The 18,625-nt window shown below is 43.1% G+C and overlaps 1 annotated feature.

Annotated features, from left to right (window-relative positions):
- Positions 17,378-17,879: an enhancer, noted in NCBI's record as "NANOG hESC enhancer chrX:106261730-106262231 (GRCh37/hg19 assembly coordinates)". NCBI's record gives its function as "activates a minimal SCP1, AML or CMV promoter by ChIP-STARR-seq in primed H9 embryonic stem cells {active_cell/tissue: H9 hESC(primed)}" and the evidence as "EXISTENCE:reporter gene assay evidence [ECO:0000049][PMID:30033119]".

An 18,625-nucleotide genomic window follows, 5' to 3' on the forward strand; every position in this document is an offset into this window, starting at 1 on the left:
GGTAATTTAGGTTGTCCTCTTTTTTTAATTTTGACAATACAAAAAATGCTCCTTCACACACTCGTGTACAGGTCATTAATTTCTGATACTGTTATCTCCACAGAATGAATTCCAAAAGATGAGACTGCTGCATCTAATAGCATGTGCATGGTTTAATCTTAATAAATACTGTAAGATAGGCAATTTGCCCTCCCAGCAACAATCAGTGCTCTTTTGTCATGTTCATAGCACTAGATGGTCCCAATCTTTTAACTTTTTGATAGTCTTTTCAATAAAAAATAGTATCTCCTTATTGTTTTAATTTGCATTTTCCTGACTACCAGTAAGGCTGAATATCTTTTCAAATGTTTAGTATACATTTGCATCTCCTCTTCTACAAATGCCTGTTTATGTCCTTTGAGCATCATTTTTTACCCCCATTGGGTGCTTTACATTTGTCTGTTTTTTAGTTATCTTTTCTTCAATTTTTTAAAATACACAAAAGTACAGAAAACAATATAATGAATCCCATGTACTTATTACTCAGATGCAGTAATTATCAAGACTGCCACACCTGCTGCAATGGACTGAACATTTGTGCCCCGCCAAAATTTGTATGTTGAAATCCTAACTCCCAATATGATGGTATTAGGTATTGGGATTAGGAGTTGGGGCCTTTGCCAAGTAATTAGGTCATAAGGGTGGAACCCTCATGATGGGATTAGTGCCTCATAAAAAGGACCCCAGAAAGCTCTCTCATCCTCTTTCTTCCATGAGGACTCAAGAAAGGGTCTGAATTCTGCAACCCAGAAGAGAGACCGTACCAGAACCTGATCATCTGCTGTTAATACGCAACCTAGTCTATGGTACTTTGTTAACAGCAGCCAGATCTGACTAAGGCACTTGTTTTCTATATCCCTTTTCTTCTTTTTCTTTTTCTTTTCTTTTTTTTTTTTTTCCATTTCTGTAAGCTGTGAGCATTTCAGGGCAAATCTCAAACATCATGCCATTTTATTTTACATACTTCAGTGTTCTTTAGAAACATGGACATTTTCTAACAAACATAACCACCATGCCACTTTTATACCAAACAAAATTTATACTAATTCTTTGTTGTCTTCTAATACCCAGACTTTTTTTTTTTTTTTTTTTTTTTTGAGACAGGGCCTTGCTGTGTCACCCAGGCTTTAGTGCAGTGGTACGATCTTGGCTCACTGCAGCCTTGACCTCCTGGGACCAAGCAATCCTCCCAACTCAGCTTCCTGAGTAGCTGGGGCTACAGGCACATGCCATCACACCCAGGTCATTTTTTTACTTTTTATATTTTCTAGAGACGAGGTTTTGCCACGTTGCCCAGGCTGGTCTCAAGCTCCTGGGCTCATGCAATCTACCTGATTTGGCCTCCCAAAGTGCTGGGATTACAGGCGCAAGCCACTTTGCTTGGCCCAGTCCATATTCAGATTTCCCCCAATTGTCTCGGAAATGTCTGCTTACAGTTGGTTTGTTTAAATCTAGACTCCAAGTGCACACATTGCACGTGGTTATGTGTCTTAAATCCATTTCAATCTAAAAGTCTCCCCTCTCTTTTTTTTTTATTCATGTTATTGATTTTTTTTTTTTTTTTTTTTGTAGAGATGGGTTCTCCCCATGTTGCCCAGGCTGCTCTTGGACTCCTGGGCTCAAGTGATCCTCCCACCTCGGCCTCCCAAAGTGCTGGGATTACACGTGTGAGCCATCATGCCCAACCCCTTGAGTTGTTGAAGAAACCAAGACAGTTGGACTGTTGAATGCCCTACATTTTCATTTGTCTGTTTGCTTCTTCATGTTACTTAACTTGCTCCTCTTGTTACAGGAAAAAGTGTAACTTAACTATAAACCATAAATTGTCTCTAGAGTCTTAGAGTCTAGTACAATGTTTTCTAAATAGGAATGCTCATAGATGGTGCTGTATAGTTCCCATTGCATCACATCAGGGAATACATACTGTGCAACACTTAGACATGTTCAGATTCATTGGTGACTTCAGGGAGAGGCAGCCTGAAGCTTCCACTATAAATTTCTCCACCATCCTTTTACTTCATGGTTTCATTGTCTGAAAAAAATATGTTATTAGGACTGCAAAATTATGATAGTCAATCTCATAATTTCTTCTAATTTATTAACTGGATCATTCTGTATAGAACTTACCTTCATCAACCATGGCTATTTGGCTAATCTGAAATACAATTTATATAGGAAGGACATGATAAATGCTTAACTCTTTACTTTTAATTGGCAATTTTTAATGTAAAGAGATGATGCCTGTGATGGATACTGTGATGCGTCAGCCCACCTCTCATTTCAATAAAAGACTTGTTGGCTGAGCTGCTGGGAGAAATGTTGACAGACTGCCTTCAGCTGTTAGCCCTTCAGGGATTGCTTCAGGTAATCTCTGCCTTACCCAAGGTCACAGACTTTTCTGGGACAGCCTACAGTAACTGACCAAAGAGGGGGTATAAAGACCTGACTGTCTCAACCCAATTTGGGACAATTGGGAAGGGTCATTCTAACTCCAATTCTCTCTGTGGGGTTGGCTCTCTGCTATTGAGCCTGCATTGTAGCTCAGTGTTCCCCTCTGCCCACACCTACTTCATTGCACAGATCCTAATCTAAGAATACCTCTTAATAAGCACCCTGCACACAAAGCTCTTCCTTGGAATCTGCCTCCTGGGGAACTCAAACTGTAACACTTGAAATTGGGAGTGATCCAAGAAAGTCGGGACTATGATGATATTTGGTAAAAGGCAAAAGATTTATACGATCCGAAGAGAAACCAGAGCATTTGGATGATATTTGGGAGCTAAATCACTTACTGCCCAGTTGGCAATGAGGACCATACCACAGAGTGGATGGAGCACAGATAGCCCCCTGCCACAAGGCAGCAGTCCTATTATTGTTAAAACTTCCACCAGGTGTGAATTGGGATGGTAAAAGGGAACGTATAATCTTCTGTGATGTTTCAAGTGTTTGAGAAATATGGAGGAAGTAGTAGCTATAAAACCAATGGAAGGCCAAGGTAGGAGGATCACTTGAGCCCAGGAGTTCAAGGCTGCAGTGAGTTATGATCATGCCACTGTACTCCAGCCTGGGCAACAGAGCGAGCCCCTGACTCTGAAACAAAACAAAACAACAACAAAAAGAACCAATGGAATTTAGTGGTTATTGAGGTCTAAAAAGGAGTAAATTCCCAATGGAGAAATAGACACACATTTGCTATGTCAAAATCGGGATGCTGCCCGGGAAAGAATGAGACCCTGACACATGGTTTGGGGCTATCTAGATTGATGCTACCAAAATCTTGAATCCTTAGATTTCCCTGAACCAGCTGAGCCCATAGAACTGGTGCAATTTCCCTATTGGTAGTACCCACGCCCGCCCCATCCTCTTGCTTGCAGACATGCAAAGCTTCTCCCCAACAAGACAACATGTGCTTTCCCCTCCCCTCCTTGCCATTAGGCCTATAACAAGGGCTAAGGCACAGCATGGACATGTGAGGCCTGATCAGGGAGAAGAGCGATTATACGTCAAAAAGCTGCAAGATACCCAGCGTGGATTGGCAGGAACTGGAAGGGTTCACATGGAATTGAATTCTGAGACTGCTTGATCAAGAGAGCTAGTCTATAAGGTGGGATAACAGGCAGTTTATCAATTTTGGAGCACTACTCTGGAATATAGGATTTAACACTCTGGCAAGGACCACATGAGGTAGAATAGTCTCACAATTAGATGACTCCTTGAAGTACAGAAAAAGTGATGACCCATGCTAAGTGAGGTTGAAATGCCAGCATTGCTGTGACAATAGTAGAAGAAAGGATTAAAAGATTCAGAAGTGAGCCTACTGTAGTGGATAGATCAAACAAGCCTGGAAAACTCAAACAGAAAAACCCAGGATACACCATTTATCAAGGTGATAAGGAATGTGCTAACAAGAGGGGCACCAGCACCACTGAGAAATTCACTGGTGGCTCTCCTCTGTAGGTTAGGCTTGATGGTGGAGAGACCCTTACAACTACGCTCATCATAGCAGGGCTCTGAAATGATAGAGACCATATGGCTGAGTTCACTATCTAAAGTCAGGTAGGGGCATGATCATAATGAGTGGCAAGATTGAAGGAGCAGCCAGAAAAGACTGAAGTACAGTTACGGAAATGGTAAATAGAACATGGCCTCCCTAGGGGAAAAACAGATAGGCAGGGATAGTAGGTGTCTATTCTGGAGAAGTTTAAACCAGAACCCTTACGTCTGGATCAAGCATTCATAGTCTTCCTTGCAGAGTGGCCCACTGCCATTTCTTCCTCCCTAAGCACAGCACAACATGAAAGCTTTGCTCAGCCCTCACTCTTGTTTGACTCAAGACTCTTCACCTCTAGAAATGCCCATTTACTGCCTTCGAAAAGATGTGCTTGCATGGCCTGTCTTGCTTGCTGTCGGGCATGGTGTATCGGCGTGTTTACTATTATACTTGTGCGATTTGGTGTTTAAACAAAAGCTTTGTACCCTCCTGATTGGCAAGTGAGGTCAGAGCCCCCCTCTCGGCTCCTCTCCAGCTCCCCACAACAGAGGCAATTCTGAGGGGCCAAGGCAGCTGCTGAAAGTCCAGGGTTTGGCCTTCCCAAGGCCCTGCTGCCACTGCCCAGCAATAAACAGAAGCAGCAAACAAATCCATACAAATCCCATTGCTGTGGCTCCACAGGGCCCTAAGAAGGCCATAATGCAAAGTTCCTCATGCTTCACTACCAAACAGGGCTTTAGCAGCAGCTGGCACATCTGTGAGGGAGGATCCAATGAACAGAACCTGGCAGTTGGTTCAGCATGGGGGCCCATGGTGAAAACCTGAGTTTTCTGCAAAATGAGGAGCAGGGAAATGCTTCAGCAGGGTGTGGCGGAGCCCTCTGAGAATCCTTAGCATGCTTCTGCCTTGGGGCAGAGCTTTGGACCTCTAGGCCAACCTCCACTCCCCCTGATCCAGGGCCTTGGGTCTGAAGCACTGAGCTGTCTGTATTACTGTTTTTATTTCAAGCTGTCCCTTCTCCTAGGCCAGACTGAGTTCCCTTAGCTACATTCCCATCACTTGTGGAGGAGCCCTGGAGTAGCTGCAGAGGCACTTGGAATTTCCTCCTGGTCGGTTAACCCTGTAACAAGTAGCTCCAATTGTTTGACACATGCATGTAATCGTTACCATGCAGACTGTTCCAGCATGTGTGTGTGGGGGGGTGGGGGGGCAGGGGTGGAGGGTGTTTCTCCTAACACCTTTTGACCCATTGTCTAAGGTCACTTGTCCCAAGTTCCTGGATGGGTGTGATGGAGAAAGAGCCTAAGACTTATCAGAGTGGGAGATCAGACAGGTGTGGTAGAAAAATTGAGTCACAAGGCATGGATTCCCGTCCAGACTCCTCCACTGGAATGGCCTGTGACCTTGGGGAAGTGTCACAGGCCACGTTCCCAGGGAAGCAGGCTCTGAGAGCTTCATGGGTAGGAGCTTTATTGGGGAGCACTGTCAGGATCAACACCTGTGAGGAATGCAGAAAGCGGAACTGGGCAGAGGAGGAAGTGGGACCGGGATGCAACCACAACAAAGGCCTCAGGGGATCCCAGGAAAAGCTCAGAGTTCTCCAGAATTGTGGCAAGGGGCTAGGCATTTATGCTCCTCCATCAAGCAGTCATGGGATGCAAGCCATCACCTGGGAAGGATACACGACCTTCAACATGGCGGCTCTCTTCAGTCAAGGGCCATTCCCAGAGACGGGCACAACTGTGCACTGTTGGCCACCAGTGCACCCTACAGCTGGGAAATGATGCTTCAGTGCTAAAGGGGAGGGGTGGAGGTGGGCAGTGCCAGGCATTCAGTTCAGCAAGTTGCATCCCCTCTCTGGGTCCCAGTTTGTCACCTGTAAGTTAAGTGACAAGGGTGAACTCTAGGATCCCTTCCAGTTCCAGGGCTCTATGAATCCACTAGCCATCCCCTCTGCTCCACTACCACCCCCTTCCTAATAAGCTATCCCCAGTTTTGCATCCCACCCCATCTTACATGTTTGCAGTGGCTTCTCATTGATTATGACACAGTCCAAATTCGTGAGGTGACTTGCAAATTCGTGAGGTGACCCTCTACAATCTAGCCCAATGCTTCCCTACAGCCTCCTTCCTCGTTACTTATTCTCCACAGTGAACATTGTGTTTCCATCACACTCTCCTCTCCTTTTCTCTGCTCTTTCAATAAGGATGTGTCTTTTATGCATTCATGAACAGGGTATAATGGAAAGAGTTTGGAGCCAGACCTGGGCTGGAATCCAAGTCCAGCTCTCATAAGCTGTGTGAAATTAGGCAGGTCACTTAAGCTCTCTGAGCCTATTTCCTCCTCTTCTGATGATCATTTCAAGAAGCAAATGAGATAATGTAGGTGAAGTGCCTAGCACAAACCTTAGTAGAGCTCAATAAATGTGAGTTCTCTTCCCTCCTCCCTTTGTTGAAATGGCTGAACCTAAACAACATCATCCAATGATTAGTTTCAAAAACATTTTAGAAGAATAAATGTTGTATGTAATTTGGTACCTTTCTTGCTAATCCTTCACTCAAGAAAAATCAAGTCACTCTGATTTCTTAGTCTGGCACCAGATAAATTCCCAGTCTATGCTCAAACTGCTCCCTGGACTGCAACTGTCAGTGTCCAAGGCCTCTCGGCCCTAGTCATAAGAACATGAGAACATAGACACCTTTTTATTTCCTTTGCCAAGAAGCATCAGCCAGCATCACCTAGGAACTTGTTGAAAATGTACATTCTCAGCCACCATCACCCTAGACCTGTGATCACAAACTCTGGGGATGGGCCCAGTAATCTGCATGTTATCCTGGGTGATTGTGATGCTCACTGGGGTTTGAGAACCTCCACTGCTCTAGGGCTTGGGGCTCATCTTGGGCCATGTGCCCCAGGGTTCCCTCCACCACCCTCTCCCCACCCAAGAAGAGGGAGGCATGACAGCAGAAGCTGGAGAACTCCAGAAGAAGTCGAGCTTTTGTCAGGAGGCCTTGGGGTAGCCGGTGCTCTTTGACAACTGTAGGAGCCTCAGGAACAGGTTGTGGAGCTCCACCCATAGCCCCGCCTCCCAGAACTAGACCCTCCTCCAGGTCACATGGTACAGTCCCCACCTCTGCACTAGGCCTCGCAAGACCAGAGACCCCTGACCTTTATGCCTATTCTGCACAGCCCCTAAAGCACTGGTTCTCAAAGTATGGGCCCTAGACCAACAGCTTCCCACCATCTTCCCACCTGGGAAGATGTTAGAAACACAAATTCTCAGGCCCCACCCCAGACCTACTATAGGTGATTCTGATAAAGGCTCAAGTTTGAGAACCACTGGCCTAGACTTTGCAAATGAGTTTAACTTAGTTTGCTTTTTAGGCCAGATGCTGTGGCTCTTGCCTGTAATCCCAGCACTTTGAGAGGCCGAGATGGGCGGATCACAAGGTCAGGAGATCGAGACCATCCTGGCTAACATGGTGAAACCCCATCTCTACTAAAAATACGAAAAACAAATTAGCCAGGCATGGTGGCGGGCACCTGTGGTCCCAGCTACTCAGGAGGCTGAGGCAGGAGAATGGCATGAACCCAGGAGGCGGAGCTTGTAGTGAGCCGAGATTGTGCCACTGCACTCCAGCCTGGGCAACAGAGCGAGACTCCATCTCAAAAAAAAAAAGAAAAGAAAAGAAAAGAAAAGAAAAATACCCGAGTGTGGTGGCATGCACCTGTAGTCCCAGCTACTCCAGAGGTTGAGGTGGGAGGACTGCTTCAGCCCAGGAGGTCGAGGCTGCAGTGAGCCGTGATCACCACTGCACTCCAGCCTGAGCAACAGAGCGAGACTCTGTCTCTTAAAAAATGCTTTTAAAACCTTCCCATTCTCTGGCTACTTCTTTACTACACAGGAGATAAAAAGTAAGACAAAGACTTGCTGATGAGAGGATCTAGAAAGCCATGCTTCCTAATTAGGAGAAACTCCCTTTCCACTCTTCTGTTTGGATTTGTCTGTTCTGTCCATTCATTTTAAACGGGACCTGTGGCTGGTCCTACTTGATTTGTACTTGGTACTTATTTCTCCAATAGCTTGTTGCCACTGGTAAAAGCCTTGGCACACAACACAGAACACTTGGACTGTAATACAAACAAGCATTTCGAACAGAGATTTAAACCACTTTCATGACAGCCACTGACATGGCATGTTTTACAGCTGATATCAGTTCCAGTTGTGAAGACTCAGGGATTTCAGAAAATGAAGAAAATAAGGGGCACAAGTGGGGAGGCCTATTCCCCAGCTGGCAGACAAATTAGAGATCGAAACAGATCCAGGGAGCTCAATTAGTCAGGCTTTTTTATAGTGAAGGGGACAAGGGACGGGGCTTGGGCATGATTCAGCTGAGGAGCCCTCGCTGAGGAAGGAGAGGAGTGGGACATGGCAGGGCTGGCTGAGGGCATGGATAGGAGACACCGGGGCCTTAAGAGAGCTCTGTGGGTGAAGCCCGGGAGGGCAGAGCAGAGCCAGGGTCTCAGGACTAAAGTCTGAAAGTGTGGCCTGATAAAGGACTTCCCTCCCCAGCCAGAGTGATGGCTGCATGAGAGCCAAGTGGGCAAAGTTGTGTCCTGAAAACAGAAGCAAGCCTGGGGGAGAGGTCAGAGCTCACCCTGTGTACCTGCCAGTCTGAGGGAGAGCAAAGTGCTAGAGTCTCCTTCACTTCCCTCTCAGCACCCTTGCGCCCCAACCAGGTCTGTGTGCGCCGCTTCCCTTTTCCCACTTGGAAGGAAACTATCACAGAGGCCAAGATGAACCCCTGGGACTCCACACCACTGTCCAGCTCAATGCCAAGCATAAGGCCATCCTAAAGAAAGCCGCTCGCCTGCTTGAGTTTTGTTTGTTTAAAAGGAACTCTCCCTGTCTTTCTCTTCCTGGAGTCTCCTCAGGGGCTCGAGTGGACCTGCCATAGGACACGGGCCTTGGCTTGGCACAGAGCATGTGGGCTCAATGGTTTCCGTCTTCCCCTCTTGACAAATCTGGGCGGCCTGCTTCCTGGTTCTTACCTGAGAAAGATGTCAGAGCATCTCACGGGGAAGAAAAGGGAAGCCCCAGCTACCATGAGGGATGACGGGACAGGCAGGGGAGACCTATGATAGACAGAAGGGAGCTGCAGACCAGGCAGGCATTCTGTTAGCTCACTACAAGCTGCTGTCCCTGGGAGTCCTTCCTCTTGGTGCCAGCTGGCCACAGGTGCCAGCCTTCTGCAGTGAGTCAAGGAGATATGTTCTCTGGGTGCGCAGTGTTCAGAGGGAAGAAGGCACTTGTCTCACCTATGCACAAAGGACTAGATGAGTAGCTTGTTAGCTCATCCAGGTAGGGCTTATCCCAAGTGCAAGTGCACGTGTGTTTTGGTGGGGGTAGGGGACATTTAAATGGTATGATACATAGATTGTATGAATTTGCCAAAGTCATCAAATGGTATACTTAAAATTTATGCATTTCATTGTGTGAATATTTTTACCTAAGAAAAGAAATGTAAACAAACATTGATCTCCAGTGATATGAAGACTAAAGTGTTTCAAGGGAAATGTCCTCATGTCTGCAACTTACTCTGAAATGCATCAGAAAATTAGATGAGCAAATCAAAACCACAATGAGATACCATCTCACACCAGTTAGAATGGCGATCATTAAAAATTCAGGAAACAACAGGTGCTGGAGAGGATGTGGAGAAATAAGAACACTTTTACACTGTTGGTGGGACTGTAAACTAGTTCAACCATTGTGGAAGACAGTGTGGCGATTCCTCAGGGATCTAGAACTAGAAATACCATTTGACCCAGCCATCCCATTACTGGGTATATACCCAAAGGATTATAAATCACGCTGCTATAAAGACACATGCACACGTATGTTTATTGTGGCCCTATTCACAATAGCAAAGACTTGGAACCAACCCGAATGTCCATCAATGATAGACTGGATTAAGAAAATGTGGCACATATACACCATGAATACTATGCAGCCATAAAAAAGGATGAGTTCATGTCCTTTGTAGGGACATGGATGAAGCTGGAAACCATCATTCTCAGCAAACTATCGCAAGGACAGAAAACCAAACACCGCATGTTCTCACTCATAGGTGGGAATTGAACAGTGAGAACACTTGGACACAAGAAGGGGAACATCACACACTGGGGCCTGTCATGGGGTGGAGGGAGAGGGGAGGGATAGCATTAGGAGATATACCTAATGTAAATGACGAGTTAATGGGTGCAGCACACCAACATGGCACATGTATACATATGTAACAAACCTGCACATTGTGCACGTGTACCCTGGAACTTAAAGTATAATAATAATAATAATAATAATAATAATAATAATAATAATAATAAAAGAAAATTAGATGAGCTGTTGGATGGATAGAAGAATAGATAAATTCATAATAAAGCAAATACTGTAAATTTTAGCATCTAGTTGGTGTCTATATAAATGTTTGGTATATAGTTATTTCAACACTTTGTAAGTTTGAAAATTTTCCATAATGAAATATTGGCAAAAATAATATTGTATTTGTCAGGTAGGTGTGGAAATTAGTATCATTCTTAAAGAGCTAAGTATGCAGGGGTGTTAGATCTTATTATAGCTACTCTTAATTTACTAATCTGACCTCCAGAAAAAAAAAACTTGGAAAATGACAGAGTACTGTAAACTCAACAAATAGTGGTCCTAATTTCTACCACTGTGCTAAATGTGGAATATTTTCTAGAGCAGATTGGCATAGCCTCTGGTATAAGGTATGTAGCCATTAATTCAGCGACTGTTGTTTTTCATACTATTTGAAAAAGAGGGTCAGAAAAAGTTCACATTCTTATGGGACAGACAAGAATATATATTAGTCATTTTGCTACATGGCTATGTTAACTCTGGTCCTCTGCCATAATACAGAAGAGATCTGAATATCTCAATATCCCACAGAACATCACCTGGATTCACTATATCACAGAAATCATGCTAATTAGACCAGATGAGCAAGAAGTAGCTTGCACATTGGTGGCCTTGGCAATGCACACTCACTCACAACATGGGAGATAAACCCTATGAAGATTGAGGGGCCTGGCATATAAACATATTTTTTTAGGTCGCCGTTGTTTAGGGGCACGCAGAGCAATCCCATCCATGATAAAAAAAAAAAAAACAAATTATTGCACCTTGCACCTCTCACAACAAGGAAGGAAAGTGCAACATCTGGAAGGCCTCGTTGAGTTCTGGGAGCAGTATATTCCTTACTTGTTAATACTGCTCTGACCCATACACTGAATGATGTCAGACAGCATATACTGACTGACAGTTTTGAGTGGGAATCAAAGAAGTGCTCTGCAGCAGATTTATGCTACAGTGTAAGTAGCCATGCTTCTTGGGCCATATGACCAGAATACCCTATGGTATTAAAGGTAGTAGTGGTAGGGGAAGATGCTATGTGGAGTTTATTGCAAACTGCATGGGATAATCACAATGCAGTCTGCAAGGTCATGCCCTCTTCAGAGAAGTACATGCCTTTGAAAAAAATTCTCTGATATGTTTTTGGGTCATAGTATAAATGTGGCAAAGTGATGATATGACATTATGTAAACATGTGGCCACAACTACTCATCATGAGCTGGGTTTCATCAAACGCACCAAATCTGAAAGTGAAGTGGGCCTAGCAATAAGCTACTATAAGGAAGTGGTAAATTCAGCACAAGCAGGACCAAAGGACGCAAGCAGCCAAATGAGCAGGTGGCTGAGTCCCCCATGTCATCCATCACAATTTCACCAGTATCTCTTCCTAAGCTCATGCTTATGATATATGGGGGCATCCCTCATGACCAGCTGACAAAGGAGGAAAAGCCTGCATTTGGTTCATGGATGGATTTCCATGGTGCATGGCTGTAAGCCAAAAATGAATGACAGCCACATTACAGCCCCACTGATGATGACCTTGAAAGAAGATGATGACAGATAACTCTAAAGGCCACTCTAGCTGAGACTGTCCTTTGAGCTTGCATCACAGATTGAATTCTCCTTCCATCCACTCCTGCTTCCTTCCTCTCTCTTCAGTAGGTGTTGAACCAAAGGTTTCTTCTTAATGAATCATTATGTTCATTAACACCATCTCAGAGTGCTTCCTACTGCAATAGTGCCAGTTTTTCTTTTACTTCTCAATTTGTAAAATCTCTTTGTATATTAGGAATGTTATTAGATGTAGTAGAGATATTTTCTATTAGTCTTTTGACTCTTTGTTTATAGTTTCGTTTGCAAAACAATTCATTTTTTTGTAACTGAATCTGTTAACCTTTCCCTATATCTACCAAAAGATTATGACTTTGGCCGAACATGGTGGCACATGCCCGTAATCCCAGCACTTTGGGAGGCCGAGGCTGGTGGAATACTTGGGCTCAGAAGTTCAAGACCAGCTTAGGTAACATGGTGAGACCCCCATCTCTACAAAAGATACAAAAAAAAAAAGGATAATGACTTTGATGTATAGGCATTAACCTGAAAAGAACCATAGTATACTGTTAAAAGAAAGTTGTAGAATAATATATTTAGCAGCACTTATCAAACTCTTCTGGTTATAGGACTCACTCAATTTCTTCTTTGAAAACTCAGATTCAATAAGCATAGGGTGGGGCCCAGGAATCTATATTTTGTTTTTTTGTTGTTTTGTTTTGTTTTGTTTTTGAGATAGAGTTTCTCTCCTGTCGCCCAGGCTGGAGTGCAATGGCGCAATCTCGGCTCACTGCAACCTCCGCCTCTGGGTTCAAGTGATTCTCCTGCCTTAGCCTCCCAAGTAGCTGGGATTACAGGTGCCTGCCACCACGCCCGGCTAGTTTTTGTATTTTTAGTAGAGATGGCATTTCACCATGTTGGCCAGACTGGTCACGAACTGCTGACCTCAGGTGATCCACCTGCCTCGGCCTCCCAAGGTGCTGGGATTAGAGGCATGAGCCACTTGGCCCAGCCAGGAATCTATATTTTAACAACCACTCAAGACAATTATATGATCAGATAAATTCGACCACAAAATATCACTCCATTTTTGTAATTTAAAAAAGGGGAGAAGGAACTCTCTATTTGTGTATGTGCATGTGTATTTGTACATACTACAGAGGAAAGTGTGTAAGAATACACATCAGATTAATATTGCTTTCCTTAGGTGGGTGGAACCAGAAGAAATTAAAAGATTATGTATTTTTATCCTTTTGTTATTTTTATTACAATGGGCATGAATTACTATAACTTTTTTTTAATCTAGTAAATTTTAAAAGCCATTTGAAACTGTCTTTTTTTTCTTTTACAAGAATCAAATAAAGGCCAGGTGCGGTGGCTCACACCTGTAATCCCAGAACTTTTGGAGGCCGAGGCGGTTGAATCACCTGAGGTCAGGAGTTCGAGACCAGCCTGACCAACATGGAGAAACCCCGTCTCTACTAAAAATACAAAATTAGCTGGGCATGGTGGTGCATGCCTGTAATCCCAGCTACTTGGGAGGCTGAGGCAAGAGAATCGCTTGAACCTGGGAGGTGGAGGTTACAGTGAGCCGAGATCACGCCATTGCACTCCAGCCTGGGCAACAAGAGCAAAACTCAATCTCGAAATAATAATAATAATAAAACAAAAAAGAAAAAGAAGCTTTCAGGAGAACTGTCTTGATTCTTGGCTAAGCCTTCTCTACCAGCTCCACCACAGCATCAGGAATTCTCCCTGTATCAAGGGTGCTACACCTGGCCAGTGGTCAATGAGTTTTACACCCATGTGACTGTGAAATAGTTAACAGAGTTTCTACGTTGTTAAAATTTTGGTTCACACCAAAAATAGTTTATACAGGTTGTGTAACAGCTGCTGTTGCAATTATGTCTAATGGAAGGTTTTGATTCACACCAAAAACACTTACATGTGTTTTGAGTGGCTAAAACTTCTGGTTTCCTAGGAACTAACTACACAAGTCTCCTCTAGGGACTCTGAAATCATCCTTCTTACTCTTGCCTGGTTCACTGCCTTGGAAACATTCAAAACAGATTGCTGATCTTCTAGGCACTGGGATTATAAGACTTGCTTGTACCTTTTATTTAGAAAAAAATGTTTTTCTGATTATACAAGTAATTACAAGCTCACTGTAGAAAATTGTAAAAATATAGAAAAGTATAAAAACAAACAGAAGAAGAATCACTCATAACCCTACCACTCAGAAGCAACCACTCTTATGCTTTTGACATATTACCTTCCAGTTTTGTTTCCATGCACTTTTTACATAGTTGAGCTCATCCTAGACATATAATTTAATATATCGCTTTTATCATGCAATGTAATAATATAAGCAAGTTTTTATAAACCATGCTTTTATTACATTCCACTTTATATAGATGCACTCTGATTTACTTTATTATTCCCCTTTTATTCACACTTAAGTTATTTCTTTGGTAAAAGAAACATTGAAGCTTTTATCTTTGGGAATAAAACTATCTGAATTGGAAACCATCTCCCATTTCTAATGCTGGTGATAACGTTGCCTAACAGTTGTACTCCAAAAAGGTACTCACCAATTTTCACCTTGTGATCATCATAGTGAATTCCAGGATATCTTAAGCCCACCAACTAAGAGGTGGCTCTCCTGAAAATATAGAACAAGGAAACAAGTGAAATCATAGCTCCAGTGACAGGGAGGACAGTCATGTTATCCTAAAACCCCAATATACCAAACTTCCAGAACAGTGACAAAAATGGTATCCATTATATTTAGCCAAAACTCCTATGTATCTATTTCTATGTTGTGCTTTGTTCTTACCTGAAGTCAAAAACCTTTTCCACTTTGTTTGTTCTGGCAGAACTCTTTTAAAGGGAGAAGGGCCAGAAGACACCTTGTCTAGCAGAGCTGTGTGTTGCCATAAGAAAAATTACACTAAAACAGAAATGGTGTTTTTGAAAATCACACTGGCAATTTATTTAGGGCTAAAGACTCGTGAAGTTTAGAAGGACATATACTTTGTCATTCTAACTTTACACCACTTCAAACCTTTCTCCAAAATAAGACCATAGTTGCTTTAAAATACTCAAGAAAAAAAGGTGTGGCTCTATGAAGAAGTAGGTGAGACAAAGATTAGTAAAATGTTGTAATTTTTGAAACTAGGTGATGGATATGGATTCTACTATTCTCTCCACCCTTGGGTATGCTGAAAATTTCCATAATAGAGAGAGAGAGAGAGAGAGAGAGAGAGAGAGAGAGAGAGAGAGAGAGAGAGAGAGAGAAATGTATAAGGCATCTAAAAATTAAAAGTAAAAAAAAAAAATGAGCATAAGACCCCATATGAATTGTAACATTTCACCTTGTTTGGGCCAGAATTTTCTTACCTGAAACTTACTTTCTAAAATAACTAGGAAACCACATAACAAGTTTTAAAGGACACATTTGGTTATGTCGTTTCTTGCTTATAATAATTTAGCTGTCTGTAACAAAATCCTATCAGTCCCTAAATAATTGATGAACTGATATTGCATTGGCTTAGAAGTTGTACTTCAATTAATGATTACTACCTTTCACATCTTCCCTAAGGAAAAGGTAGATGAACATGACTGACTTCACAGTTTTTGAGAAACCATCTCACCACCATCTATTGCACACAGAAAGGCAGATATTCCTGCAGCGTGGACAAAGCATGGCCTTTCTGTAGTCTGTGGTGCGTGGTCTCCATTTGATGCTGGCTCCCTCAGCAGAACCAGTTATTCTACCCAGTTTTCCCAAGTCTCTCTCCCAGCATCCGGCACATGATATTATGATATATCTCTCTACTGGTCTTTCTTCCCCTCTACAATGCCAATTATTTCAAAGTCAAGGCTATGTCTTATTCTATTTTTGTTTTTATATTAGTTGGTACAGTGTCTGGAAAGTGCTAAGGAACATAAATGTATAATAAATGAACAAAGGAATAAATATACACAAGTACTGGAACTGGAGTATGCAAAAATAAGGTTAAGATCTGGCTTATATTTCTTAGTTGTTACAGTCTTAAGAAAGTTTCTTAACCTAAGTGACTCTCAGCTATGAAATGGGAATTACAACGCCAAACTTTCCTACTTCACAGTGTTATTTCCAGATTCAAAATCAACTTGAAATAGTGCATATGAAAATATTTTGGAGGCCGGATGCGGTGGCTCACGCCTGTAATCCCAGCACTTTGGGAGGCAGAGGCAGGGCGGATCACGAGGTCAGGAGTGCGAGACCAGCCTGGCCAATATGGTGAAACCCCATCTCTACTAAAAATACAAAAATTAGCCAGGCGTGGTGGCACATGCCTGTAATCCCAGCTACTCAGGAGGCTGAGGCAGGAGAATCGCTTGAACCTGGGAGGCGGAGGTTGCAGTGAGCTGATATGGCGCCACTGCACTCCAGCCTGGGGGACAGAATGAGACTCCACCTCATAAAAAAAAAAAAAGAAAGTATGAAACAAAAAGGAGGGAAGGTCACCTGTGTTGTGTTAAGGAGAAAGGCAGCATAGTGTGGTGTTTATGGCCCCTCTCATTGAGTTGCTGTGAGAATAAAATGAGGTGATATATGTAAAATACTTGGAAAAATACCTGGGACAGAGTAACCTTTCCAAAATGGTAGTAGGCCTGATTATTCTCTTGTATGTGAAAGAGTTCAATTAGCTGGGGGTGATAGGATTATATGGGAGCCAGCAATATGGACCAGATGTCCTTTAAAATTTAAAATGACCAGTTGACCTCCATGATGTCTTGGTGGGCAATTTGGAATCCTTGTCTAAATAACATTAAACTGACATAGTCTGTGTGAGTTTATATGACTGGCTCATGCCCTCACTGGGCCTGAGAGTGGCCCATCCGTGTATGTGTATGCATATGTGTGTATGTGTATATAAATAGATATGTATGTGTATATGTGTGTGTATATATGTGTGTGTGTGCAAGTATCTGTGTATATTTGTGTGTGTTTCTATGAAGGCATTGTGATGGGTCTGAGTATGTCCCCAATTGAAGTGCACATATCTCTGTGTTTGTCTCTGTATACATGTGTATCTTAGCCTGTTCAGGCTGCATTAACAAAATACTTTAGACTGGGTAATTTATAAACAACAGAAATTTATCTTTCACAGTTCTGTAGGCTGGGAAGTCTAAGATCAGGGCACTAGTAGATTGAGCGTCTGCTAACGACCTGCTCCTCATAGATGGCACCTTCTATGTGTCCTCACATGGTAGAAGGACAAAGGGACTAATAACCTCCCACAGGCCTCTTTTATAAGAGTACCAATCTAATTCATGAGAGCTCCACCCTCATGACCTAATCACCTCCCAAAGGCCCCACCGCCTAATTCCATCACCTTGGTGATTAGGTTTTCTCTTAGCCTGTTCAGTGTTACTATAATAGAATACCTGAGACTAAGTAGTTTGTAAAGCAAAGAGGTTTATTTGCATCTGGTGAGGGCCTCAGGCTGCTTCAACTCATGAAGGAAAGAAGGGGAAGCTGGTTTATGCAAAGAGATCATATGGCAAGAGAGGAAGCAAGATGGAGGGGAGGTGTCAGTCTCTTTTTTTTTCTGAGACAGTCTTGCTCTGTCATCCAGGCTGAAGTGCAATGGCATGATCTTGCTGCAACCTCTGCCTTCTAGGTTCAAGCAATTATCTCACCTCAGGCTCCCCATTAGCTGGGATTACAGGCACCTGCCATCATGCCCAGGTGCCAGGCTCTTTTTAACAAACAGCTCTTGAGGGAAGGAAAAGACCCAGAACTTGGTCACTACCCCCATCCTAAGGCATTAATCTATTCATGAGGCATCACTCCCATGGCCTAAACACCTCCTACCAGGTCCCATGATACGGTTTGGATCTGTGTCCCCCTCAAATCTCACTTTCAGTTGTAATTCTCAGTATTGGAGGTGGGGCCTGGGGAAAGTGATTGGATCACCTTCTAATGGTTTAACACCATCCCCCTGGGTGCTGTTCTCACAATAATGAGTGACTTCTCACCAGATCTGGTCATTTAAAAGCATGTAGCACTTCCCCGTCTCTCCTGCCTGCTATGGCTGTGTAAGACACGTCTGCTTCCCTTTTATCTTCCACCATGATTGAAAGTTTCCTGAGGCCTCCTCAGAAACCATCATGCTTCCTGTACAGCCTGTAGAACCATGAGCCAATTAAACAGCTTTTCTTTATAAATTACCCAGTGTTGTGTATTTCTTTAGAGCAGTGTGAGAATGGACTAATACACTCCACCACTCAACATTGCCACATTGGGGATCAAATTTCAACATGAGGTTTAGAGAGGACAAACATCCAAAACATAGCATTCTTCCCCTGGCCCCACAAAACTCAAGTTCTTCTCACATGCAACATACAATCACTTTATCCAAGAATCCCAAAAGTCTTAACTAGTTTTAGCATAGACTCAAAAGTTCAAAGTCTTATCTGAGACTCAAGTTAAGTTCCTTCCAGCTATGAGCCTGCAAAATAAAAAACAAATTATTTACTTCCAAGATTCAATGGTTTTAAGGGCATTGGGTAAACATGCTCATTTCCCACAGGGAGAAATTGGCCAAAAGAAAGGGGTA

This window comes from Homo sapiens, chromosome X, assembly GCF_000001405.40.
Source record: "Homo sapiens chromosome X, GRCh38.p14 Primary Assembly".
Lineage (NCBI taxonomy): Eukaryota > Metazoa > Chordata > Mammalia > Primates > Hominidae > Homo > Homo sapiens.